This window comes from Homo sapiens, chromosome 16 (assembly GCF_000001405.40).
Source record: "Homo sapiens chromosome 16, GRCh38.p14 Primary Assembly".
Lineage (NCBI taxonomy): Eukaryota > Metazoa > Chordata > Mammalia > Primates > Hominidae > Homo > Homo sapiens.
The window spans coordinates 20999007-21025871 of NC_000016.10; the positions used below are offsets into that span (position 1 = coordinate 20999007).

The 26865-nt window shown below is 40.4% G+C and overlaps 1 protein-coding gene across 17 annotated transcripts in view, besides 1 other annotated feature; it reads right to left on the minus strand.

The window, feature by feature from the left end:
* DNAH3 (dynein axonemal heavy chain 3) overlaps positions 1–26865 on the minus strand; it is a 226349-nt gene that overhangs the window by 65896 nt on the left and 133588 nt on the right. For 14 of the 17 annotated variants that reach the window (XM_017023432.2, NM_017539.2, XM_047434349.1 and 11 more), the window contains 5 exons: positions 25590–25695; positions 22965–23094; positions 20618–20863; positions 4098–4201; positions 1218–1512 (listed from right to left, as the gene is read on the minus strand). In XM_017023432.2, coding sequence (XP_016878921.1) covers positions 1218–1512; positions 4098–4201; positions 20618–20863; positions 22965–23094; positions 25590–25695 — 881 coding nt within the window. Of the gene's footprint in view, positions 1–1217; positions 1513–4097; positions 4202–20452; positions 20864–22964; positions 23095–25589; positions 25696–26865 lie in introns of those variants that run through there. The other 3 variants (XM_017023428.2, XM_017023430.2, XM_017023431.2) reach the window with 3 other exon arrangements.
* Positions 2432–2491: a silencer, noted in NCBI's record as "silent region_7247". NCBI's record gives its function as "represses an Ori minimal core promoter by ATAC-STARR-seq in GM12878 lymphoblastoid cells {active_cell/tissue: GM12878}" and the evidence as "EXISTENCE:reporter gene assay evidence [ECO:0000049][PMID:35858748]".

Consider the following 26865-nt stretch of genomic DNA (forward strand, 5'->3'; position numbering starts at 1 on the left):
AACACTTTGGGAGGCCAAGGCGGGAAGATCACTTGAGGCCAGGAGTTCGACCACCTGGGTAACAAAGCAAGACCCCCGTCTCTACAAAGAATGGAAAAATTAGCCAAGAGTGGTGGCATGTGCCTGTAGTCCCAGCTTCTTGGGAGGCTGAGGTAGTAGGATCACTTGGGCCCAGGAGTTGGAGGCTGCAGTGAGCTGTGATTGTGCCACTGCACTCCAGCCTGGGTAACAGAGTGAGACATTCTCTCTCTCAAAAAAGTAAGATTTGAAACCAGATCTGTTTGGCTGCAAAGCTTACCCTGTTTTTGAATATACCATAAAAATAGGGAGGGAGAGCAAGATGGAGAAAAGGAGAAAAAGAGGAAGAGAAAAGGAATGTAAAATAAAATAGGACCCCTGCCTCTGAGGGGCTGTTAGTTGGCAAGGACATGAACTCAGGCAATATTTCCTCTGAATACATGAGTTTTAAAGGCATATCCTGAAATAATCCAGAAGTGTGGGGCATTACTATTGCTAGATGAGAACGCTACGTGTCAACAGCAAGATAGTGGAAAATATAATGTATTTGGCACCAAAAAGCCTGGGTCTGGGTCACAGCTCCAGAATGTTCTAGATATTTGATCTCAAACAGGAAATTTAACCTTCTGGAGCCTCAATGCACTGACTAGTAAAATGACAATGATGGTTAATAAGCTCACAGGGTTGTGGGGCTCAAGTGACCGAAGTGAGGAAACGCTTTGTAAATAGTTACAGTCCTGGGAAAATTCACTGTGCTTATTTCACAAATGTTTGGCAAGTATTAGGTTCCTCCATTTAGTGATAACACATTTATCTGACAGAAAATGGAATAAGGGGTTTATCACAAGGTGTGTGTTGCTTTTGGAAATGCCAGCGGGCAAACAGCACAGCCCCCTTCTGAAATTACTACTTCCACTACAAGGAAGAGAGGAAGGAAAGAAAGAAGGAAGGAAGGAGAAAAGGAGGAAAGAAGGAAGGAAGGAGAAAAGGAGGGAAGAAGGAAAGGAGGGAGGGAGGGAGGGAAGGAGGAAGGAGAAAAAGAAGAGGAGAGAATGAATACTAAGCTATATTAACTGGAAATATTTGATCTCCCAGGGAGAGTAAAGGTATGTACAGTGGCACCACAAGCAGAAGCTATAGTTTGCTGCAGCTTATGGTGGAAGAATCTGGTTGTGTCCAGACCCAGCCCAATGCCTTACCCACAAACACCACTGCTTTCTTCCCTATGGGAGGCCCGAAAAGGCCCTTCCGTCGTCGATCCAGCTTGGACATGATGATATCCTGGGTCTGATTGGCTGAGGTTCTGGCAGAGAAATTGATGCAGTTGGGTAGGTACGTATTTTTGGGAAGGTGGAGAAGGAAGTTGTTGGTGATGGCTGATTTGCCAGTGCCTGTGGGACCCACGAACAGCATTGGAATCTCATGGTCTAAGTAGGTTTTCAAGAAGAAGGACTGCCGGGCTGTCTCCATTGTGGGGATGATGAGTTCTGAGACCTGTACCACACAGACATGGGAGAGTCTCGGTTGTGGGCCCAGGAAGCTGGAGGTCTTGGCATTCAAGAGACCTGGGTTTACATTCTAGCTCCATCCCTTACTATCTTTATGACCTTAGGCGAGTCTTTAACCTCTCCATGGGCCTCAGTTTCTTCATCTGTGAAAAGGGGATAATAATGGCACCTAATTCACAGAGCTGGCTTGAGGATTAAACAAGATCATGCATGTAAAGTTGGGCATTACTGTCTGTGTGTTGTAGATGAGAAGACTGGGTCGAGAGCCTTTCTGCAACCTGCTCAAGTAACACAGCAAGTAAGTGAAAATGCAGGGATTTGAATACCAGCTTGTCTGATTCCAAAGTCTACAGTCTTCACTACTGAATGGTCATATTATAAACAGTTGTGGTAAGGATCAGTCCATAGCTGCTGTGCTCCTAGAGCATTGCTCTGAACCAACTTGTCTCCCTTGTCCCAGGCAAGGTCTACCTCCCCTATGCCATCATCACTGCCTGGCTCAGAGGGCTTAAGTGTGATCCTGAATCCCCATGATCTGTGCTTGTTTCTGATCTATTTTTTACAACACTCACATTCTTGGTTCTAAGACCCACCCTTACTAATCCCATGCCTTTTCCAATATGGGGATTGTATTAATACACACTTTTCCTGGTATTCAGGTCCCAGTTGGACTCTTAAGGCCGGGTCTCGGGCTCCTGGAATCCCTATTTGGACAGGGCACCTGACCTTGGCTTGGATTCTCTGAGTTTGAACCCTGTCATCAGCCATTTGGCTACATTTTGTCCCTCTATGGGGGAAGATGATTATATCATACACTGAAGTCTCCTTCTATGTCTAGGCTGAAAGGGACTAGACCTTGGGGCCACTGTGTTGTACAACTACAGAGAGTACCATTCACACCATGGATCATGTCAATGGTGCCTTCTAAAGCAAAACTGGACCGTGATGCAAATAGCGCCACCTAGGTCTGTGCGACATAATGGCCCTATGTATACTGGTAGAAAAAGGCTCAGCTTCTTTCTACAAGCAATTTGATCAAAGGAAAAGAAACAGATGAGACAAGGGAATTAAAGTTGAGAAGAAGAGAAGTAACAGGTGCTTAAGTATGGGTGTTTTGCCTGTATTACCCCCTACAGTCTTCCCAGTAACCTTCTAAGGCAGGTATGTAATAACACAGATGAAATAAATGAGGCTCGAAGAAACTGGCTAACTTATCCAAAGCCATATAGCCAGCAAGTGAGGCTAAATGCAGAACTAGGTTCAAGATGCGTATTTTGCTACTAAGACTGGGAGTTTAAAGCAAGTTGGGTTTCATAGATGTTTATTTTCAGGAACTAGGACAATTGTTTGACAAGGGAAAAATCTCCAGAACTGAAGATATTTTCTTCATTGGACTCTTTTACTTGTGTTAATTCAGCAAGATTGCAAATCCCTGGAGCTCAAGTGACTAAGCTCTTTTTGGAGAATTAAAGTTTAGGACCTCAGTGCTGGGGGTTGCTTTACAACACTCAGCCCCCAAGGTGTGTCCTGAAGTCAGCACACATTCACCCTGCTTGACACATCCTTACACATACAGCTGTGGTCCTGCGTGGTGTCTGACTTGGTTGTCAATATCTGTACTTTCTCCACCACCTACCACTCCACCCAGGGCCTGAACAATCTCCAGTCACTTCAGAAAGATAAACTATGCCCACTAGATTCTACTAACAGGGACATAAAAGCTCTCTGAAAAAATGTTCCACAAGGATTGAAAAGAGCAGGAGTTGTAGGTGTATCATTTTCTAATCAGAAAACTTATTAATCAAAACCTACTTTTCAGAGAATTCTGATCAAGAAAATCTTTCTCTGAGGATTCAAAGAATCCTTTTTTGCTGAGATAACTGAGAAGCACACTGATGACTATCTGGTGTTGTTATTATTATTATTATTATTATTATTATTATTTTGAGACAGAGTTTTGCTCTTGTCACCCAGGCTGAAGTGCAATGGCGCGATCTCGGCTCACTGAAATCTCTGCCTCTGGAGTTCAAGCGATTCTCCTGCCTCAGCCTCCCAAGTAGCTGGGATTACAGGCATGCGCCACCACGCCCAGCTAATTTTGTATTTTTAGTAGAGATGCGGTTTCACCATGTTGGCCAGGCTGGTCTTGCACTCCTGACCTCAGGTGATCCTCCTGCCCTGGCCTCCCAAAGTGCTGGGATTACAGATGTGAGCCACTGCGCCTGGCCAGTACCTGGTATTACTGATAACGACAATAATCAGAATAGCAACAAACACTGATGTAGCCCCTAGCATGTGCCATGTGTTCATGTATAACACCTCCAACCTCTGCAACCATAAATGTTCCCCCCACCGCCATTTTTTGGTTGAGTAAATTGAAGCTGAGAAAGGATGCTGTGTCTCTCTGATTCTAAAGCCCATGTTTTTGAAGGTCCACTGCAGCTCATGTTTAAATATTTTTCTAAAGAAAGCCCTTAAAACTCCTCGCAAAGACTGTTAATTCTTCCACCTGAGAGAATATTTGGATGATTCTGGAAACCAAAGTTCCATGGCCAATGATTCTCTTTATACCTTTGCACCAGCTGGAACTTTTTCCTCCTCTTTGGTGATATACTGTGTCCACGTTTCCCAATGTCCACTAGCTTGTTTGATAAAATAAAAATCATAGATGCTTCCTGGACCCAAAGAAACAAAACAGATCATTAGCACATGAAGGCTTTACTTGCCTCCCATATTTGAGGATTTTAAGTCCCTCAGTTATCAGCATATGAAAATGTGTAACTACCAGTACTGGCATAGTTGTGGTGAAACTTATACATTGCTGGAAAGTGTATAAACTGAAACAACACTTTTTAAAGAGTAGTGACTTTATTATTTGTGTAAAAATGATAGGTGCTAATTATGCAAATTATTAAATTAGTTTTCATAATGTAAACAGCAAGTATTAAAATAGAACAAGGCCAGGTACAGTGGCTCACGCCTGTAATCACTGGACTTTGGGAGGCTGAGGTGGGTGGATCACCTGAAGTCAGGGGTTCGAGACCAGCCTCGCCAACAGGGTGAAACCCCATCTCTACTAAAAATGAAAAAAAATTTGCTGGGCATGGTGGCACGTGCCTGTAGTCCCAGCTACTTGGGAGGCTGAGGCAGGAGGATCACTCAAACCCAGGAGGCCGAGGTTGCAGTGAGCCGAGATTGTGTCACTGCACTCCAGCCTGGGCAACAGAGTGAGACTCTGTCTCAAAAATAAATCAATAAATATATACAATTAAAAAAAAGAACAAAAAAAGAAGACAATAAGTTAGTCAAAATCCCACATCCAGAGATAACTTTTGATGGCAATCCTTCTAGCCCTCTTTCTAGACACACAAACATACTGAAGATGGAAAGACAGATAGATGAAAGAAAGGATTTTATAAGAAGGGGACTCATTGGACATATACTATTTTAAAATAACTATGTTAAAGTTAATTTTACTTAAATCTAGCAAAAGAAAAGGAGATTGAAGTGAAACTGAAGGACCTGCTGACTTTCAGGTACAGTTTTTGTCACTACAAGAGATACTGGGTCCTAAAAGGTATTTCATAATTTTAAGTCATTAAGGGATTAAAGTCATTATGCTTTATAAGTCATTTAATGTTATTTTGTTGTATTTTAACTTTCTATTGTGAGAAAAATTTAAAAAATGAAAGTAAGGAGAATAGTATAATAAACCGTCCTGTACGCATTATCCAGCCTCAACATGATCATTTTGCCATTTTTGTCTCATCCATTTCACTACCTCCAACCAGCAACATATTCATTTTTCCTTTAGTCTCTCTTCCTTTCTTTCTTTTTCTTTTTTCTTTTTTTTAGAGATGGAGTCTCACTCTGTTGCCAGGCTGGAGTGCAGTGACATGATCTCGGCTCACTGCAACCTCCGCCTCCCGAGTTCAAGCAATTCTCCTGCCTCAACTTCCCAAGTAGCTGGGACTACAGGCACTCGCCACCACGCCCTGCTAATTTTTGTATTATTAGTAGACACAGGGTTTTGCCATGTTGGCCAGGCTGGTCTCAAACTCCCGACCTCAGGTGATCCACCCGACTTGGCCTCCCGAAGTGCTAGGATTACAGGTGTGAGCCACTGTGCCCAGCCCTTCCCCGTCTCTTTCTTTCCTTCCCTTTCTCTCCCTCCATCCTTCCTTTCTCCTCTTCCCTCAACTCTCCCCACTCCCCTTCCCTTCCCCTCTTCCTTCTTTGGAGTATTTTAAGGCAAATCCTGATATCAGACCATTTCAATTGTGAATACAAACGATTCAAGTTTAGACCAATTTCATTGATTCCTTTGTGAACTGTGAGGTGATTAACTCTTCCTTCCAGCTCCCCTTCTCTGGTTCCTTTTGTTGTCATTGACACTATAACTTTCACTTTGTCAGGGTTCATATTCATTTATGTTTTTTTCTGCAACCATAATTTCCCCATTCCTTAGTCTTATGTTTATATTTCAATAGATTCACTGCTCAAACTTTTAAATAGATTCAATGCTCAGGGCTTTTAACACAGACCACTTAAGAGTTCTTTGTTTTAATTCATCTCTTAGTTGACTAATTTTCTTCCTCTTTCTCTTCTTTCTCTCGTCTCTTTCTTTTCTTTCTTTCTTTTTCTTTTTCTTTCTCTTTCTCTCTCCCTCCTTCCCTCTCTCCTTCTGTATTTCCTTCCTTCCTTCCCTCCCTCCCTTCTTCCTTCCTTCCCTCCCTTCTTTCTTTCTTTCCTTCCTTGCTTCCCTCCTTCCCTCCTTCCCTCCCTCCCTCCCTTCCTTCCTTCTTTCCTTCCTTCCTTCCTCTCTTTCATTCTTTCTCTCTTTTTCTCTTTTTTCTTTCTTTTTTGAGACAGGTTCTCACTCATTGCCTAAGTCAAAGTGGTGCAGTGGTGCAATCACAATTCACTACAGCCTCAACCTCCCGGGCTCAAGCAATCTTCTCACAGCCCCCTAAGTAGCTGGGACCACAGGCACACGCCACCGCACCCAGCAAATAATTTTATTTTTTGTAGAGATAAGGTCTTGCTATGTTGCCCAGGCTGGTCTCAAACTCCTGAGCTCAAGCAATCTGCCTGCCTTGGCCTCCTAAAGTGCTGGGATTACAGGCATGAGCCACCATGCCCAGCCTCATTTTTTTTTTTTTCCAAGAAGGGGCTTATAGGTGCTCAACTCTCTCAGCTCTTACGTGTTTGAGAATGACCGCCTGCTGCTTTTGTATTTTAACAGTGAGAGTAATAGTCTATGTCATATTTTCTTGTCTTCTAAGGTATGCAGACATTGCTCTATTCTTTTTTTTTTTTTTTTGCATTTTAAATTGCTGTGCAGAAACTGAGGCCCATCAGATATTTACCTGGAAGTCCAATAATTTAATTATGTTATATTTTCTGGTCAATTATTATGTATCAGTTTTCCTTAGAGCATAGCATACTCTTACAATTGGTAGAAACAACTGTTCATTTTAAGAGAAGTTTCTGCATCTGTATCTTTGTATATATTATTTATACTATTGATTGGAGTTCTTAAGGAACTAGCATTATTTGGTCTCCATATCAATTGTATTGTCTCTGATTACTTCAATGTTTTTCTCTTCTGTTGTATGTGTAATTATCTCAAACCTTATTTCTAAGCAATATAGTAGATGTCTAGCCTTGCATACTTTATTTCTCGCTGGTTCTAATTCACTTATTAGATCATTAATGGCATTATTTTATTCCCAATCTGTTTCTCTGACTCTGCAGTTCCTCTATTTCTCTAATTTAGTAGTTTTATCACTTCATCTACAAACTTTCTACAGCTTTACTGAAATGTAATTTACATATCATATAATCCAACTAGTTCAAGTGTACAATTCAGTTGTACTTTTAGCATACCAAAACCACATGTACATGTAAATATATTAATATTCACAGAGTTGTGAAACCATTACCACAATCAACTTTAGAACTTTTCATTACATTGGATAGAAACCCCACACCTCTTAGCCGTCACCTGCCAAATCCCTCTCCCACCCACTTCATACCCTGGCAACCTCTAATCTACTTTCTGTCTCTATAAATTCGCCTATTCTGCCTATATAAAGGGAATCATATAATATGTGTTCTTTTGCGACTGGCTTCTTTCACTTAAAAAAGTGTTTGTGTGTGTGTGTCTATTTGAGACCAGGCCTAGCTGTCACCCAGGCTGGAGTGCAGTGGCACAATCTTGCTCATTGCAACCTCAACCTCCTGGACTCAAGTGATCCTCTTGCCTCAGCCTCTCAAGTAGCTGGGACAACAGGCATGCACCACCACGTCTGGCTAATTTTTGTAGAGACGGGGTTTTTGCTATGTTGCCCAGGCTGGTCTTGAACTTAGCTCAAGTGATCTGCTCACAATTGGATTGTATAACTTTTGAGTTAAATTAAATTGGATTGTGTTTAACTTTGGAGGAAGTGTCACAGCCTCTTTTTCAAAGCTACTGCACCATTTTACATTTCCATTATGGTAGATGAGAGTTCTGATCTTCCTGCATCCTCACCAATACTTGTTGTTTTTCATCTTTTTAATTACACCCATCCTAGTTATTGTAAAGTAAGTATCTCATTGTGGTTTTAATTTGCATTTCCCTGATGGCTAATAACATTGAGCATCTTGTCATGGGCTTATTGGCCATTTGTATATCCTTTTTTTTTTTTTTTGAGGCAGGGTCTCACTCTGTCACCCCGGCTGGAGTGCAGTGGTATGATCTTGGCCACTGCAACCCCTGCCTTCTGGGCTCAGGTGATCCTCCTGCCTCAGCCTCCCAAGTAGCTGGGACTACAGGCAGGCACGCACCATCATGCTTAGCTAATTTTTGTATTTTTTGTAGAGATGGGGTTTCGCCATGTTGCCCAGGCTGGTCTCAAAATCCTGGGCTCAAGTGATTTGCCCACCTCAACTTCCCAAAGGCATGAGCCCCAGTGTGCCTGGCCTGTATATCTTCTGTAAATAACGGTCTATTCAGATATTTTGCCCATTTTATATAGTGTTATTTGTCTTTTTATTATTAAATTATCATCACTCTATATATTCTAAATTTGAGTCCCTTATAAGGTACATAATTTGTAATAAATTTCACCCATTCTGTGGGATTTTTCATTTGATGTTGTCCTTTGAAGCACGAAAGTTTTTAATTTTAATGATGTTCAGTTTACCTATTTTTTCTTTTGTCACTTGTGCTTTTGTTGTCTTAAGACATCATTGCCTACTCCAAATCATAAAAATGTGCATCTATGTTTTCTTCTAAGAGTTTTATAGTTTTAGCTTTTACATTTAAGTCTTTGACCTATTTTGAGTTAATTTTTCACTATAGTGTGAGGCAGAACTACAAATTCACTCTTTTACATGTATAATTCAGTTGTTCCAGCACGATTTGTTGAAAAGATCATTCTTTTCCTATTTAATCATCTTGGCACCATTGTCAAAAATCAAGTCACCATAAATGCAAGAGTTTTCTTTCTGGACTGTCAATTCTATTCAATTAATCTATATTTCTGTTCTTTTGCCAGTATACCATACTATTCATTTATGAACTTAAAAATTTAAACTTCTATTATTACAAAATTCTTTCAACAGAAATATTTTCTGGCTCTTGGTTCATGTTTTCTGTTAAACATTCTCTCTCTCTCTCCTCTGTCTCTCTCTCTCTCTGATGTGTGCATGATTGCCTTACCATTCTGCTCTGATATAATTGGGTAAATTCTTCTTGACATGTTTCCCAACATTATCTGGGGCCAGTTTATCTTATCTACAGTGTTGGCCACTATTTAAGGAATGGTGTGTGGCTTTCTTTCCTATAGCCTTAATCCATAGGGTTGGGTAAAGGGAAAAGCTCAGTTACCCTTGCTGGAAAATCTGAGCACTGTACCCTCTCTCTGAAATCTGTCTACATTTCCTGAACCATGGGTCCATCTCACTCCCATCCTAGCTAGTGATGTGCCCCACTCCCGAAGGATTCACCTCATGTCCCCACGCAGCATAGGGTTCTGGAAGATGCAAAACCTGGCGTTTTTTCCCATCCCTACTAAGGTCCTCCAGCATCACACAGGGGCTTCCATGATGGAGAGTTTCTCTTAGACCTTTTGTGCAGCTGCCCAGCCATCATCATGGTCCCCTTTCCTCTCCGTTGGTGATTTCCAGCGAGAACTCAGAGTGTTGTCAACTGACCTGCTTTCCTCTCCCCATCACTCTTAGCAAGACAGAGGGGTGGCAGGTTCTGAGTTGGGAGATACGCCAGGCCAGAATCTTGTTTTCTCTCCTTATTCACTACTTCACAATGCTTGTAGAATTAAGTTGTAATTCATTCTTTGGTTATTGCTGGGTACTTTTTAGGATTAAAAAACGTTTGTTGTTGCTGATTTTGTTAGGTATTTTAAAAGTGAGCTTCTGTTATTCTACGTCACTCTGCAGCCTTACCTAGAAGTAAATCTGGTGCAACACTTTTAGAAAGCAATCTGGCACAATGCTTACAGAGCGACGAGAATGTTCTCTAAGTCAGAAATCCCATTTCTGGGAATTTATCATAAGGAAATAATTCACAATGAAAATAATCTGTATACATGAGTATGCAACACCATCTGTGATAGCAAAGAAATAACTTACATATCCTACATTAGGAGACAAGTAAAATTAGCTCTTATAAGATGGATGGAATATTCTTTGGTCATTAAAATGATAGTTGCAAAAGCTAAGTATTAGCATAGAAAATGCTTTTAAGAAACAATGATAGATAAAAATAGACTACAGAGTGAAATATATACCATTATGGTAACCATGTAAAGAGATGAAATCAGGTAGACAAGCAAGGAAACGGATTTTTTGAAAACTGAAATGACTGTGATACGGTGGTATGAACAAAGAGATACTTAAGGATAATTTTTATTTAATAGAATAGAATCGCTTTTACAATAAAAAGGAGATACTAAAAGACTGAATTGGTAAAATATTTTTCCCTCTTCCTTTGCTGATGTTGAGCTAGAGCTAATTTGTGGCTTGATTTGGGAACATTTAGGCTAATGAGAAAAGATTTGGCTGGGTGTGGTGGCTTATGCCTATAATTCCAGCACTTTGGGAGGCCAAGGTGGATGAATCACTTGAGTCTGGAAGTTGGAGAACAGGCTGAGTAAATGGCAAAATCCTGTCTCTATAAAAAATACAAAAATTAGCCAGGCATGGTGGCATGTGCCTGGAGTCCCAGCTACTTGGGAGGCTGAGGTGGGATCACCTGGGCCTGGGGCACTAAGACTGCAGTGAGCCGTGATGAGCCGTGACTACGCCACTGCACTCCAGCCTGGACAAGAGAATGAGGCTCTGTCAAGAAAAGAAAAGAGGAGAGGAGAGGAGAGGAGGGGAGGGGAGGGGAGGGGAGGGGAGGAAAAGAAGGAAGGGAAGGGAAGAGGAGAAGAGAAGAGAAGAGAAAAGATTTAACTAGTAAAAGTAGATTTACCAGCAGTGTGACCTTGGCTAAGGTTACCATTTACACACCTGTAAAATAGGCCTGATTTTATGTCAAACTCGGAAAATCACTACGGAGAGTGAGTGAGATATATGTATCAAACATCTAGCATAGTTCTGGGCACACAGAAGGCACTTGGTAATGTTTAGCTCTAGCTCTTCTTGGTTTTCATCAGAATAATGGCTCCTGTTCTCTTTGTGTTGTGATTATAACTTAAACTCTGGTCTGGGTGTGAGAGTAGAAAGAGGAGAATAGCAGAAATTCAGGAATGGATTGGTAATGAATTGGTAAATGACTTCTATCACCCCTACCCCCCCTACCCCAGCTCTGCTTTCCTCTCCTGCACTTGGGAAAATGAGGTAAACTTTTCAACTGAGCAGTAAGTGACTTTTCAAAGGTCACACAATGAATGAGTGAATGAAGAGAAATTAAGCACTTTCGGGACAAATGGATCCCTGGGTTGACAAACAAAGGTCCATGTCAAACAATGTGAGCCCAACATTGACAGAATCCCACAAGGGTCTGCTTGCTTTCCTTAGTGTATGCTTCCCAGTGTAGTTCCTCCAGCACTTATTTGAGAGATCCATTTATGCCATGTCTTGCATATCATGAAAATCCTAGAAAACAATGTCCCATAAAGTCAGGGAAGGCCTTCCTGGAGCACTCGGCATTAGAATTTTCATCATGGGCCCTCATGGACAGGCTAGAAAGGCATTTTAAGCTTTTGAATATGGTTATAAGAAAGTACAGGGTCTTGCTATGTTGCCCAGGCTAGTCTCAAACTCCCAGGCTCAAGCGATCCTTCCAACTCAGCCTCTGTGTAGCTGGGATTACAGGCATGAACCACCACGCCCGGCCAAAACCTGTTTTTTTTTTTTTGTTTTTTTTTGTTTTGTTTTGTTTTTTAAAAAAAACAAGCTGCTGCAAAAGAGGATATACACAAAAGAAGTCAGTTTGCAGGACACGATGAAAATCATGGTTTGTTTTATGCTGCATCTGCTGGGTAGGGCATGGAGGGAGGAGATGAGGCCATCGTTGTGGACAGGAGATATTATAAGGGAAAATTATCTAGAAACTGAGTGGGAGCTGTGCACATCACATCATTGACTCTCTAGCTGCAGAAGGAAAGGAAAGAGGTCACCACAAAGTGATCTGAAAGTGAGGTCAAGGGCAATTCATGTACCATCTCTGCAGACAGAGCATAAACAGATTGATTTTGAAGGATGAGGAAGGCAGAAAACAACATGTGGAGCCTGTGAAAAAAATATTGCAATGTAAAGGAATGTCATATGGAGATTAACCTGAATAATTTATCTCTGAACTTTCTTTTTCTTTTGAGACAGGATCTCACTGTATCACCCAGGCTGGAGTGCAGTGGTCACGCATGGCTGTAGGTGCATCACAGCTCACTGCAGCCTCAACCTCCTGGGCTCAAGTGATCCTCCTGCCTCAGCCTCCCAAGTAGCTGAGAATAGAGGTGTGTGCCATCATGGCTGGCTAATTTTTCTTTGTATTTTTTGTAGAGACAGGGTTTTACAATGTTGCCCAGGATGGTCTCAAATTCCTGGGCTCAAGAAATCCACCTGCCTCAGCCTCCCAAAGTGCTGGGATTACAGGGGCGAGCCACCGTGCCAGGCTGAAACTTGTTTTTGCAGGACTTGAAGCCAAATTTCAGGAAAACTGTTTGGTATCTTCAATAAGGTGCAGAAAGACCTAACTTTAAATGAAGCAGGAACAGAAAGCAAAAAAGGAAAAACAAACTAAGATGAAAAGACAAGATGAGATAAAAAGTGAGATGGATGCCCTAAGAGATGATGATGATAATAGCAATAAAATTGCTCACATTTATTTAACATTTCCTACATACCATGCTTTATTCAAAGTATTTTTACATGTATTAACTCATTTAATCCTTACTATTATTATTGTCCCCATTTTATAATTGAGGGAACTGAGGAGGATAAAGAAGTTGCTCAAAGTCACCCCAGTATTAAGTGTTGGAGCCAGGATCCGAACTCTGACAATTTCACTCCATGGCCTGTACTTTCCCATCCTTGCACTAACAAAGCCTGCCACAGAAACAAAAGATACAAAGGCAGAATTAAAATCATTCAAGACAGTAAAAAGAATAATTGAAGTTGTGGGTGGCTGATATCAAAATGAAAAGCGCACCTCGAAAGACCAAAGCCCCAAAACAAGAAAAAAGGAGATGATGGTTATGGGAGCCAGAAAATTATTTTTTTCCTTGCTGACGGAAAGGATGCATCACATTCCAGGCAAAATAAACAAAAGAGGACACAGTCTGTTAAAAACAAAACAGAAACAAAACCTACAAAAACATTAAATAAAAAACATATGAAAAACAAACTACCACTTTATATATAATTCAACCTCACTTCTAATTTAAAGAAGAAGAAATTTAAATTAGATACTATTTTCACTTTTCAAATGTAAACAGAATGCCAAAATACATGAGGCAAAACTGATAGAACTTTAAGGAGAAATAGACAAATCCAATATCACAGTCGGATACTTCAACCACCCCTGCCAATCAGTAGTTGGCAGATAACAGTCAGAAAATAAGTAGGAATATAGTGAAACTGAATAGCACCATCATCAATTAACAGGATCAAATTGACATTTATTACTTTATTCAACAATAGAAGACTACATATTTTCTTAAGCTCACGTGAAACATTCACCAAGATAGAATGCATCGTGGGCAATAAAACACTTTTTAATTTTTTTTTAGGCAGGATCTCACTCTCTTACTCTGTCACCCAGGCTGGAGTGCAGTGGGATGATCATGGCACACTGCAGCCTCCAACTCCTAGGCTCAAGCAATCATCCCGCCTCAGCCTCCTGAGTAGGTGGGACTACAGGTGAGCGCTACCACACCCAGCTAATTTTCGTTTTTTGTTTTTGTAAAGACGGGATTTTGACATGTTGCCCAGACTGGTCTCAAACTCCTGTGCTCAAGGGATCCTCCATCTTGGCCTCCTAAAGTGCTGGGATTACAGGTGTGAGCCACCGTGCACAGCCAAAAAGAAAGATCTAAAATCAATAATCTAAGCATTCATCTTAGGAAACTAAAGAGAGCAATTAAATAAAAGGAAGCAGAACAGAAGAAATAAAAATTATTGCAGAAATCATGAAATTGACAACAGGAAATTAATAGATAAAATTAACAAAAGCTGTATCTTTGAAGGATTAATAAAATTGATAGGCCGGGCACAGTGGGTCATGCCTGTAATCCCAGCACTTTAGGAAGGTGAGACAGGTGGATCACTTGAGTCCAGGAGTTTGGGACCAGCACCAGCCCGGGCAGATCCCATCTGTTAAAAAAAAAAAATTGATAAACCTTTAGACAGGTTAACCAAGAAAAAAAGAGAAGACAGCACTAATATCAAGAATGAGGCTGGGCGCAGTGGCTCACACCTGTAATTCCAGCACTTTGGGAGGCCAAAGCAGGCAGATCACCTGAGGTCAGGAGTTTGAGACTAGCCTGACCAACGTGGAGAAACCCCGTCTCTACCAAAATACAAAATTAGCCAGGCGTGGTGACACATGACTTTAATCCCAGCTACTCGGGAGGCTGAGGCAGAAGAATTGCTTGAACCTGGGAGGAGGAGGTTACGATGAGCCAAGATCGTGCCATTGCACTCCAGCCTGGGCAACAAGAGTGAAACTCCATCTCAAAAAAAAAAAAAAAAAAAAACTAAAAAAATGAAAGACAGGCCATCAGTACTGATTCAATGGACATTAAGAGGATAATAAATATTATGAACAACTTTATGCCAACAAATTTGATAAATAAAATAGACCAATTCCTTGAAAGACATGATTTACATGATTCACATAAGGAGAAGTAGATAATTTGAATAGGCTTTTATCCATTAAAGAAATTTAATCAACAATTAATAACCTTCCAAGAGAGAAAGTACCAGGCCAAGATGGGTTCACTGGTGAATTCTATCAAACATTTAAGGAAGAAATGATACAAATTCTCTACAATCTCTTAGAGAAAATAGAAGCAGAGGACACACTTTATAACTCATGCTATGAGGCCAGCATTACGCTAATACCAAAGCCAGATAAAGACATTATAAGAGAGGAAAATTACAGACCAGTATCTCTCATCAACATAGATGCAAAAATATTCATCAAAATATTAGCAAATCAAATCCAACAACATATGAAAAGTATTACACACCACAATCAAGTGATATTTATTCCACTTGATTATTATTATTCCAAGGTATATAAGTCTGGCTCAACATTTGAAAATCAATTAGTGTAATTCATTGCATTAACAAGCTAAAGAAGAAAAATCATATGATCACGTTAATAGATTCAGAAAAAGCATTTGACAAAATCCAACATCCACTCATGACAAAGACTCTCAGTAAACTAGTAATAGAGGGAACTTGTCAACTTGATAAAGAATACCAATGAAAAACCTTCAGCTAAACATCACACTTAATGGTCAAGAACTAGATGCTTTCCTCCTAAGACTGGGAGCAAGATAAGGAAGCCCTTTTTCATTACTTCTGTTCAGCATCATACTGGAAGTCCTAGCTAATGGAATAAGACAAGAAAAGGAAATAAAATATTGGGAAGGAAGAAATAAAACTGTCTGTCAGTGGCATAATTATGTAAAAAATCCCAAAGAATCCACAAAAAGACTCCTGGAACTTATAAGTGATTGTAGTAAGATGGCTGGATACAAGATTAATATACAAAAGTCAATTGCTTTTCTATATACAGGCAATGAACAAGTGGAATTTGAAATGAAAACACAATACCATTTATATTAACTCCAAAAAAGAAGGAACTACTTAGGTATAAATTTAACAAAAAATATACAAGATCTATATGAGGAAAACTATAAAACTCTAGCCAAAGAAATAAAAAACAGTCTAAATAAATAGAGAGATAATCCATGTTTATGAATAGAAAGACCCTAAATTATTAAGAAATCTGTTCTTCTTGACTTGGTCTAGGTAAACACAGCCTTAACATTATCCAGCAATAGCATGTCTATGTGTTTACTAAATGAATTAATGGAAAAGTTATGTTCACAAAAGGCCTTTACATAAATGTTTATAACTGCTTTAAGTACCAAAAATTGTAATAAACCAAAATGTCCTTTAATGGGTGCATGGATAAACATACATACAATGAAATATTATTAAGTGATAAAGAAGCAATCTAACAAGGAACAAAAATCCATGTAGGAACCTCAACAGCATATTGCTAAGTGAAATAAGGCAGTCTAAAAATTTCACATACTGTATGATTCCAAGAATATCATGTCTTGGAAAAGTCAAAACTATAGAGACAGTAAAAAGATCAGTGGTTGCTTGGGGATCAGGGAAGGAAGGGAGGATGAAGAGGTGGAGCACAGGATTTTTTTGGGTTGTGTGAAACTATCCTGCATGATTCTGTAATGGTGAATACATGACATTTACATCTTTGTCAAAACCCATAGGACATACAACACAAGAGTGAACCTTAACATACACTATGAACTTTGTTCATAATAATTTAGCAATATTGGTTCATCAATTGTAACTATAATACCACAGTACTGCAAGATGTTAATGAAAGAACTGTGTTTGTGTGGGTGAGAAGAAGTGGCATATGGAAACTCTCTGTATTTTCTGCAACATTTTTCTATAAATTTAAGACTAAAGTCTATTAAAACTTTTTTTAAAGGAGAAGAAAGTTAAAATGCGATATGATTTTCATATTTCAAATTGCTTGAGATTTTTTATTTTGTTTTCTGAGATGGAGTCTTGCTCTGTCGCCCAGGTTGGATTGCAGTGGTGTGATAGCTCACTGCAACCTCTGCCTCCCAGGTTCAAGCAATTCTCCTGCCTCAGCCTCCTGAGTAGCTGGGACTACAGGTGCCCACGACCATGTCCAGCTAATTTTTGTATTTTTAGTAGAGATGGTGTTTCAACATGTTGGCCAGGCTTGTCTCAAAATCCTGGCCTCAAGTGATCTGCCTGCCTCAACCTCCCAAAGTGCTGGGATTACAGGTGTGAGCCACTGTGCCTGGCCGAGATATGATTTTCATATTTCAAATTGCTTGAGATTTTGAAAAGGCAATACTCAGTGAGGCACAAGGGAAGTTTAGCAACCAAAAGCTTTAAAATGTTACCGATCTCTTGACTCAGCAATTCTATTTTAGGAAATCATCACAAGGAAATAACAATGAATTAAGTAAATATCATTAACAACCAGAATATTGTTAATGATAGTAAAAACTAGGAGATAAAAGTACAGAATGATCTTATATTTTAAAAACAAACCTGGAGACACATACATGCATAAGAAAATGTCCAAAAGAATTGTCATCAAAATATTAATTGTGGCTCTCTTTTTATCACATATTTTTATTGTATATTTTTTTCTTAAAAAATAAGAATGAACTTCATACCCACCACAATGGCTATTATCAGTAAAACATACAGAGAGAATACAAGCACTGGTGAGGATGTGGAGGAATCAGAACTTCTGTGTATCGCTGGTGGGAAGGTACAATGTTGCAGCCTCTATGGAAAACATTACAGCAGTTCCTCAAAAAATTAAACATAGCATTAACATATGATCCAGATTTTCACTTCTGAGTATATACACCAGAAATAGCAGAGACTCAAAAGACAGTATTTGTACACCCATGTTCATAGCAGCTTTATTCGCAATAGCCAAAAGGTGCAAATAACTCAAGGATCCACTGACAGATGAATGGATAAACAAAACGTGGTGTATACATGAAATGGAATATATTCAGCCTTAAGAAAGGAAATTCTGACACGTGCTACAACATGGATGAACGCCGAAGACATTATGCTAAGTAAAATAAGCCAGTCACAAGAAGACAAATACTGTATGATTCCTCTTACATGCAGTACCCAGGGCAGTCTAATTTATGGTGACAGAAAGTAGAATGGTTATTTCCAGGGTAGGGGTGGAGAAGGGGCTTTGGGGGAGGTACTGTTTAATGAGAACAGTTAGTTTGGGAATGTGAAAAACGTCCTGGAGATGGAGGGAGGTGATGGTTGCCCAACAATGTGAATGTACTTAACACCACTGATTTGAACAATTACAAATGGTCAAAATGGTAAATTTTGTGTTATGTGCATTTTACTATGACAATAAAATAAGCAAAAATCATCCAAACCAAAAACTCAATGAATGCATGACAATCTGACTAATGGATTGATACAGAGACAGAGCCTCCCTGTGGTTCATCTTGTGAAAGGAGCATATCTTGGGCCCCCAAAATCATCAAGCTAAAAGGAAAAGTCAAGCAGGGAATCACTTAGGGCAAACCTGCCTCCCATTCTATTAAAGTCACCCCTCTGCTCACTGAGATGAATTCATATCTGATTGCCTCTTTTGGAGAGGCTAATCAGAAAACTCAAAAGAATGCAACCATTTCTCTCTTATCTACCTATGACTTGGAAGTCCCCTCCCCACTTCAAGTTGTCCCACCTTTCCAGATGGCACCAATGTTCACCTCACATACGTTGATTGATGTCTCATATCTCACTAAAATGTATAAAACCGTGCTCTGGCCACCTTGGGCGCATGTTTGTTGTCAGCGCCTCCTGAGGCTGTGTCACAGGCATGCGTCCTCAACCTTGGCAAAATAAACTTTCTAAATTAACTGAGACCTGTCTCAGATTTTTGTGGTTCACAATCTGACAGATGGCCATGTATCAAATGAAGTGTGCAAGCTGTGCAGAGAAAGAGTATGTGGCAGGCGGTAATAGTATCTACTTGCTCATTCATTATTTCATTATTATGAAACATAATAATGTTTCATTATTATCAAACATACAGAAACATGGAAGACATTGTACAGTGAACATTTGTATACTCACCTTCTAGATTTTACCGTTAGCTCTTTATTTGTTTTAGTACATACCTGGTCATCCCTCTATCCTTCCTTTAATCTATCTTTTTTTTAAAAAAAATTCAAAATTAATTTTAAGCATCTACACACTTTCTCATAAATACTTTGGCGTGCTTCTTATTACCTAGTGTTCAGTATTTGTTTATATATTTTTCCTTTGATATAAATCTTACAATGAAATGCACACATCCTAAGCCCACATTTCTAAGTTTTGGCAAATGCACATATTTGTGTAATCCAGGTCACTCTTAAGATATGCAACATTACTATCTCCCCTAGAAGTTCTCTCATGGCCCTTGATACATGTTTTTTTACAATCACAAAAAGTAAAGCTATTTGGGAAGTACTTGTAGTATGATCCTCTTTTTGTTCTAGGAATATAGAAAAAACTGAAAGAAAACATAAGAAGTGATATTTCTGGATAGTGGGATTACCACTGATCTTAATTTTCTTCTATTCCTTTCTCTGTATTTTCTAAATTTTATATAATGTCTTACTTGGGTGGTAGAAAAACAAAACAAAAGCGACTTAGAAGAAGCATCTTCCTTATAAGAAATGATGTCACACACATAAGAATATTTACAGTCACTAAGTGATCATTTTGAAGACAATGTATGTAGTGAAATTGGAAACATTTCAATATGATATTAAAATATAACTGCAGGCCCGGTGCAGTGGCTCACGCCTGTAATCCCAGCACTTTTGGAGGCTGAGGCAGGTGGATCACTTAAGGTCAAGAGTTCAAGACCAGCCTAGCCAATGTGGTGAAACCCCATCTCTACTAAAAATACAAAAATTAGCCAGGCGTGGTGGTGCATGCCTGTAATCCCAACTACTTGGGAGGCTGAGACAGGAGAATCTCTTGAATCTGGGAGGCAGTGGGTGCAGTGAGCCAAGATCATACCACTATACTCCAGCAGGAGCAAGAGAGCAACACTCTATCTCAAAAAAAAAATTATAATGACAAAATTAAAAGAAATATTAATACCATAAGTACCCTATACGAAGGCATGTCAACACACACAGAAATAGAAAGGAATAAGAAAAACACAAGTGTCTATATTTCTCATTTTGTTTTGGTGATGGAATTATAGGTAATTTTTGCAAAAATAAAACAGTCATATCCTCTTTTTCTAAATTAAAAAAGTGGTTAAGTATCCCATAAAACCTTGACTTCAGGACCACCCATGGGCCAACTCTATTTTTTTTTTTTTTTTTTTTTTTTGAGACAGAGTCTAGCTCTGTTGCTCAGGCTGGAGTACAGTGGCATGATCTCAGCTCACTGCAACCTCTACCTCCCGGACTCAAGCAATCCTCCTGCCTCAGCCTCCTGAATAGCTGGGTTTATAGGTGCATGCCACCACACCCAGCTAATTTTGTTTGTATTTTTAATAGAGACGGGGTTTCACCATGTTGGCCAGGCCGGTCTTGAACTGCTGACCTCAAGTGATCTGCCCACCTCAGCCTCCCAAAGTGCTGGGATTACCAGTGTGAGACACCACAACCAGCCAATGATGATATTTTAATTCTGTAATTCCTTACATATTTATTAGCCACCGTGCCTGGCCTTCTGTGGCTTTTGTAAAGGGCTCACCTGTCTGCACATTCTGGTTGTGTTTAGAACACGTAATTCCAACTATTATACTAGAACATAACAAACAGGTTCTAAATTACCTCTTTCTGGAAAGATGTTGTTTTTGGTGAGTTTGACGCTTTTGGGCCTTGGGTGGTTATCATCCATGCCCATGATCAGGTTGCGGAAAAACACATCAAATTTCTTTCTGCTGTCTGCGTTGATGGTGCCAGCCACGGTCCACACCAAGGAAAAGAGAAACAGTCCTTGGAGCCAGAGAAAGATCTGTTGACTTGACAGGCCTTCACCTAATTCCATTTCCTCCTCTTCTACTGCCCTGATTTCATCTAAAAGTGAGAAAAGCGAATCTCAGGACAGAGTGCAGAATGCCACAGATGTAAGGGCTGTGAACTGGTTGGCTTTGCCTTTGAAGGGTCTGGGCCAGAAGGGCGACTGATATTGGCAGAGTGCCTATCACCTACCAGATCATTTCACATGCATTTTTTTTTTTTTTTTGAAACAGGGTCTCACTCTGTCTCCCAGGTTGGAGTGCAGTGGTGCAGTCACAGCTCACTGTAGCCTCAACCTCCCGGGCTCAAGTGATCTTTCCACCCCAGCTTCCTGAGTAGCTGGGACCACAGGCACTAGCCACCACATCTGACTGATTTTTGTATTTTTTTATAGAGATGGGGTTTTGCCAGGTTGCCCAGGCTGGTCTCGAACTCCTGAGCTCAAGCAATCCACCCACCTCGGCCTCTCAAAATGCTAGGATTACAGCCGTGAGCAATATTTTTATTTTTACTGCTGTATAATAATATAGTGTGTGTATATATATATATATATATAAAATCACTATATATATATATATATATATATTTTTTTTTTTTTTTTTTTTTTTGAGATGGAGTCTAGCTCTGTCGCCCATGCTGGAGTGCAGTGGCACAATCTCGGCTCACTGCAACCTCTGCCTCCTGGGTTCAAGTGATTCTCCTGCCTCAGCCTCCCAAGTAGCTGGGATTACAGGCACCCGCCACCTCACCCTGCTAATTTTTGTATTTTTAGTAGAGACGGGGTTTTACTGTGTTGTTGGCCAGACTGGTCTCGAACTCCTGACCTCGTGATCCACCCACCTCAACTTCCCAAAGTGCTGGAATTACAAGCGTGAGAGACCGCACCCGGCCTTTACTGCAATATTTTTATTGTGGTAAAATACATGATATATAATTTACCATCTAACCATTTTTTAGTGTATAGTTCAGTGGTATTAAGTGCATTCATATTGCTGTGCGACCATCACCACCATCTATATCCAGAATTGTTTTCATCTTGAAGAACTGAAGCTCTTTGCCCATTAAACAATAACTTCTCCCTCCATCCTCTCTCATCCCCCTTGCAACCAGAACTCTCCGTTCTGTCTTTATAAATTTGGCTACTCTATGTACATTAATTGTAGAGAAGAATCGCACAGTCATTTTGTGACTGGCTTATTTTCTTAGTATAATGGCTTTAGTGTTCATCCAAGCTGTAGCATGCATCAGAATTTATTTCCTTTTTAAGGCTAAATAGTATTTCATTGCAAAATTACAATACATTTTGCTTATTTGTTCATCCATCGGTAGACACATGGGTTGTTTTCACCATTTGGGTATTGTGAACAAGAGTTCTATGAACATGGTTATACAAATATCTGATCAAGTCTCTGCTTTCAATTCTTTTTGGTTTATATGCTAAGGTGAAAGTGCTGGATCAATAAGTCTACATTTACTTTTTTGTTTTTTTGGAAATTAATCTCTTATCAGAGAGGAGGTAAGACAGGGGTCCTGCTATGTTCATCTCCCTCTAGGATATCCCTGTGAGGTAAAAAGGGCAGGAATTACTACTCTCATTATGTAAATGAGGAGCCTTAGACTGAGGAATGATGGGGTAATTTGCACTAGAATACCACCCAAAAATCAATGTCAGACAAAGACTAAACACATGGACTTTGCCTACCAAACTCTACTATCTGCACTCCAAAGGCTTGCTTGTTCTAGATCAAACAGCCAGTCATGTTGTAATTCAATGGGGGCCAAAGAGAGGTGGGAGCAGAAAAAATAGCCAAGGTAGCCCAGGCGCTGTGGCTTATGCCTGTAATCCCAGCACTTTGGGAGGCAGAGGCAGGTGGAACACTTGAGGTCAGGAGTTCAACACCAGCCTGGTCAACATGGCGAAACCCCATCTCTACTAAAAATACAAAAAAATAGAAGTGGTGCGTAACTTAATCCCAGCTACTCGGGAGGCTGAGGCAGGAGAATCACTTGAACCTGGGAGGCTGAGGCTGCAGTGAGCCAAGATCATGCCACTGCACTCTAGCCTTGGTGACAGAGTGAGACTTCATCTCAAAAAAAAAAGAAATAGCCAAGGTAGACCCACCCCCCATGTGGCTTAAGAATCATGGCTAGCACTTACCAAGCAGAGAAGAGTACAGTCTCATCATTGAGAAGGCAAGGTGGATGGGAGATGTCTGGACAACAAATTTACAATGAAGGCGACCAAATTCCAGGCAGGGCTGGACAAGCCACATGAACATGTCATTGACCTGAGAGTAGAAACCTCCATGAGACTTGGAGACATGATCAACAAGTGAGTTGACGACCAAGAGCTTGGTCTACCTTGTGAGGCTAGAGATGCTGGTTAGACTGCTGATTTAAATGTAGGTGCATTGGGGGAAAACTTATAGGCAACAAGACCCCTATCTCAGCATCCTCCTTCAGGGTCCTAAGACTGTTGCCCACAGGCCATGTTAACTCAGTTTCCCATCCGCATTCCACTGCCCAGAGCTGATACTCAGAGAGGCTTGGAAATACTCTGGGTCAGCTACAGGATGCATAAAATGTGTTTAGAACCCAACTAGTGTATCTGTCTTTGTTTCTATAAAAAGTATTAGGAATTCTAAACAATTAATTTACAAATGACTGTTATGTTAGACACTGGTGAGGTGGGACTCCTGTATAAATTAGTCAAAGAGAGTACAGAGCTAATTTGGGGGGCTCATTTTCAGTAATTTACCACACGTATGGGTAGGTTTATATGTTCTTCTTTGGGGTTATCATGATTCTTGCCTCTAGTGTCTGTTCTCCAGTCCATTTACTCTTTTAAAAAGTTATCCGACTTGCTTTTCTTGTAATGCTTTTTTAAACCTTTGTTATATTTTTTTTAAAAAAGATTTATTTATTTACTTACTAAATTTTTTTTTTTTTTGAGACGGAGTTTTGTTCTGTCACCAAGGCTGGAGTGCAATGGTGTGATCTCAGCTCACTACAACCTCCGCCCCCACTGGGTTCAAGCGATTCTCCTGCCTCAGACTCCCTGAGTAGCTGGGATTACAGGCACATGCCATCATGCTCAGCTAATTTTTGTATTTTTAGTAGAGACAGGGTTCTACCATGTTGGCCATGCTGGTCTCGAACTCCTGACCTCAAGTGATCCGCCCACCTCAGCCTCCCAAAGTGCTGGGATTACAGGCGTGAGCCACCACGCTCAGCCTCTTTGTTATACTTTATTTGTGACTTTCCCTATACACATTTTTTTTAAGAAGTAGGAAGGCCATCACTAAATAAATACAGACTTAGGTGTGGATCTATATAGATAATTTATGTATGTGTAGATGCATTTATATGTATATATAAAAATACAGGTATACATGGAAATGTGGTATATCAATTCAGTCAATAAATATTTATTGAGCATCTACTAATTGCACGGTAGTAGTGCTGGGGATAAACAATGGAAAAGGTAGACAAGGAGCCCTCATGGAGGGTCAGGGAAGACAAACAATAAATAACTAATCCAGCAGGGATATCAGTAAAATACCTATAGATCATGCAAAGTTCTAGCAGGAAACACAAACGTGTTATGGTGAAGAATAACAGGAAGGGTTTAAATAGGGTAAAGAAGCCTTCCTGGAGGAGGAGATTTTTATGTTGAGAACTGCATGATGAGGGTGGAGCCAACTCTGAGATAAACTGAGGCAAGAGTCCCAGGAAGAGGAATAAAAAGAGCAAAAGCCTTGAGGTGATGAAACCTGGGCTTGTCTTGGAAACAAGACAGGACTGCTGGAGACTGCTAAGCTGAGGCTGAGAAAGAGCAGGAAATGAGATTGCAGAGGCAGGCGGGGCCAGATCACATAGTCTCATGGGCCCTGATAAGGAGTTAAACTTTGTGCCAGGGACATTGGGGAGTCCCTAAATGACTTTACATATATGGGGACTTGGCAGCTTTTGGGGTGTGTGTGTGTGTGTGTGTGTGTGTGTGTGTGGACTGGCGCTTGAATGTGCACGTGGATATGTACTTGCACTTTACATATTATCCATGTATGTAGGTGATGACAGACATTCAGCCGTCCTACATAATCTCCCAAAGAGTTTCCATTGTAGGAATAGACCATCCTTGGATTCCTCAGTGGGAGACTTTCCTAAGCATTCTATTAACACAGGGGAGGGCAAGAGGAACCACAGACACCGCTACTCCCTTCCTGCTTCCGGGTCTGAGAGTGTGGTCAGGTACCCGCCTAACCCGAACTTTCCCACCTCTTTAGAGAAGGGAAGAAGGGAGTGGTCGCTCACAGTAGCTGCAGTGAAAGCACTTCTAACTGGTTCCAGCTCCCTCAAGGTGGGAGGTGCAGAGTCCAGGTTACAGGGATGGGAATTGGCAGCACCAAAAGGAACACCTGGCCCATCTCTAGAGAAACTTCTACAGACATTTCTGTTAGTGGGGCAATGAAGAAAGAGGTGACATTTCAGCTTCCACAGAGAACATTCCTCAGCACTGGGATTCTCCACTGGGGAGCCAGGGAGTGATGGGGAAGGAGGAAGAGGAAAGAGAAATTGACTGCACCACCCCAGGCCCACCATATGGAGAAGAAAGTTCGAAAAATGGCAGGCAGCCAGGAAACAAGATAACTGGGGACAACAAGGGAATTCCCTGCCCCTTGTTGCCTCCAGGGACTATGAAGGTGAAGATGTACCTAGAAGACCCTCGAGATGAAAAGCAGGGAGACAGCAGGAGGGGAAGGAAAGGGTCTGAGGGGCTCACCAATTCTTTGTGCTCCTTGGTGAGACTGGAGGGCAGGGTGTCCATGTAGGAATCCTTCAGGGGCTTCCAGCCTAGTTGATGGGGCTCCATGTAGATCATCCCACACCTGGGAAGCACAGAGGACCAGTTTAGGTGCTCGCTTCTTTGTTACTAATACGGGTTAACATTTATTGAGCAATCTACTGCATGTCAGGCACCATGCTAGGCATTAATGGATCTTGACAATAACCTAGTCCCCTGGGTTTACCCACGTTGAATCTTGTGTTCATCTGCCCCTTGATTTCTTTCCTTCATATACAGTTTTATAGCATTTCTATATGTTCCTAAAATGTTTATTTGTTTGTTTGGAGACAGTGTCTTGCTCTGTTGCCCAGGCTGGAGTACAGTGGTGCAATCTTGGCTCACTGCAACCTCCGCCTCCCTGGTTCAAGTGATTCTCATTTCTCAGCCTCCCGAGTAGCTGGAATTACAAGTGCGTCCCACCACACCTGGCTAACTTTTTTGTATTTTTAGTAGAGATGGGGTTTTGTCTTTAGTAGAGACAGGGTTGGCCAGGCTGGTCTAGAACTCCTGGCCTCAAGTGATCCATCCACCTGGGCCTCCCAAAGCGCTGGGATTACAGGTGTGAGCCACCTCGCCCGGCCTGTTCCTAAAGTGTTTATATTTTTATTTTAGTTGTTTTTAACAATTAAAAAGGGGTACCATGTTATAGATAATATTTTGATCTTACTTTTATTATTACTATATAATAATAATATAGTATATAATAGCATATAACCATACAGTATATATATTATTATATATTAGCACATAATAATATAGTATATATTAGTATATAGTATAACATTATATTATATATAATATACTGTAATTATAGATATAATTATGTAATTATAGATGTAATTATAGATATAACATATTTATAGATGTAATTATAGATATAATATATTTATAGATATAATTACATTATTACATTATCTGTGTTCTATATAATATTGCTAAGGTTTTGTCCTTAATAGAGTTACTAAGATTTATTTATATAGTTGCATGTCAGTGCAGTTCTTTTGAGTACTTTATTATACATATTACAATTTCTGACTCTATTATACTTTATTAATTCACTCTTTTGTTGTTGTTGTTGTTGTTGTTTGTTTTTTAGATGGAGTCTTGTTCTGTCGCCCAGGCTGGAGTGCAGTAGTGTGATCTCGGCTCACTGCAACTTTTGCCTCCTGGGTTCAAGCAATTCTCCTGCCTCAGCCTCCCAAGTAGCTGGGAT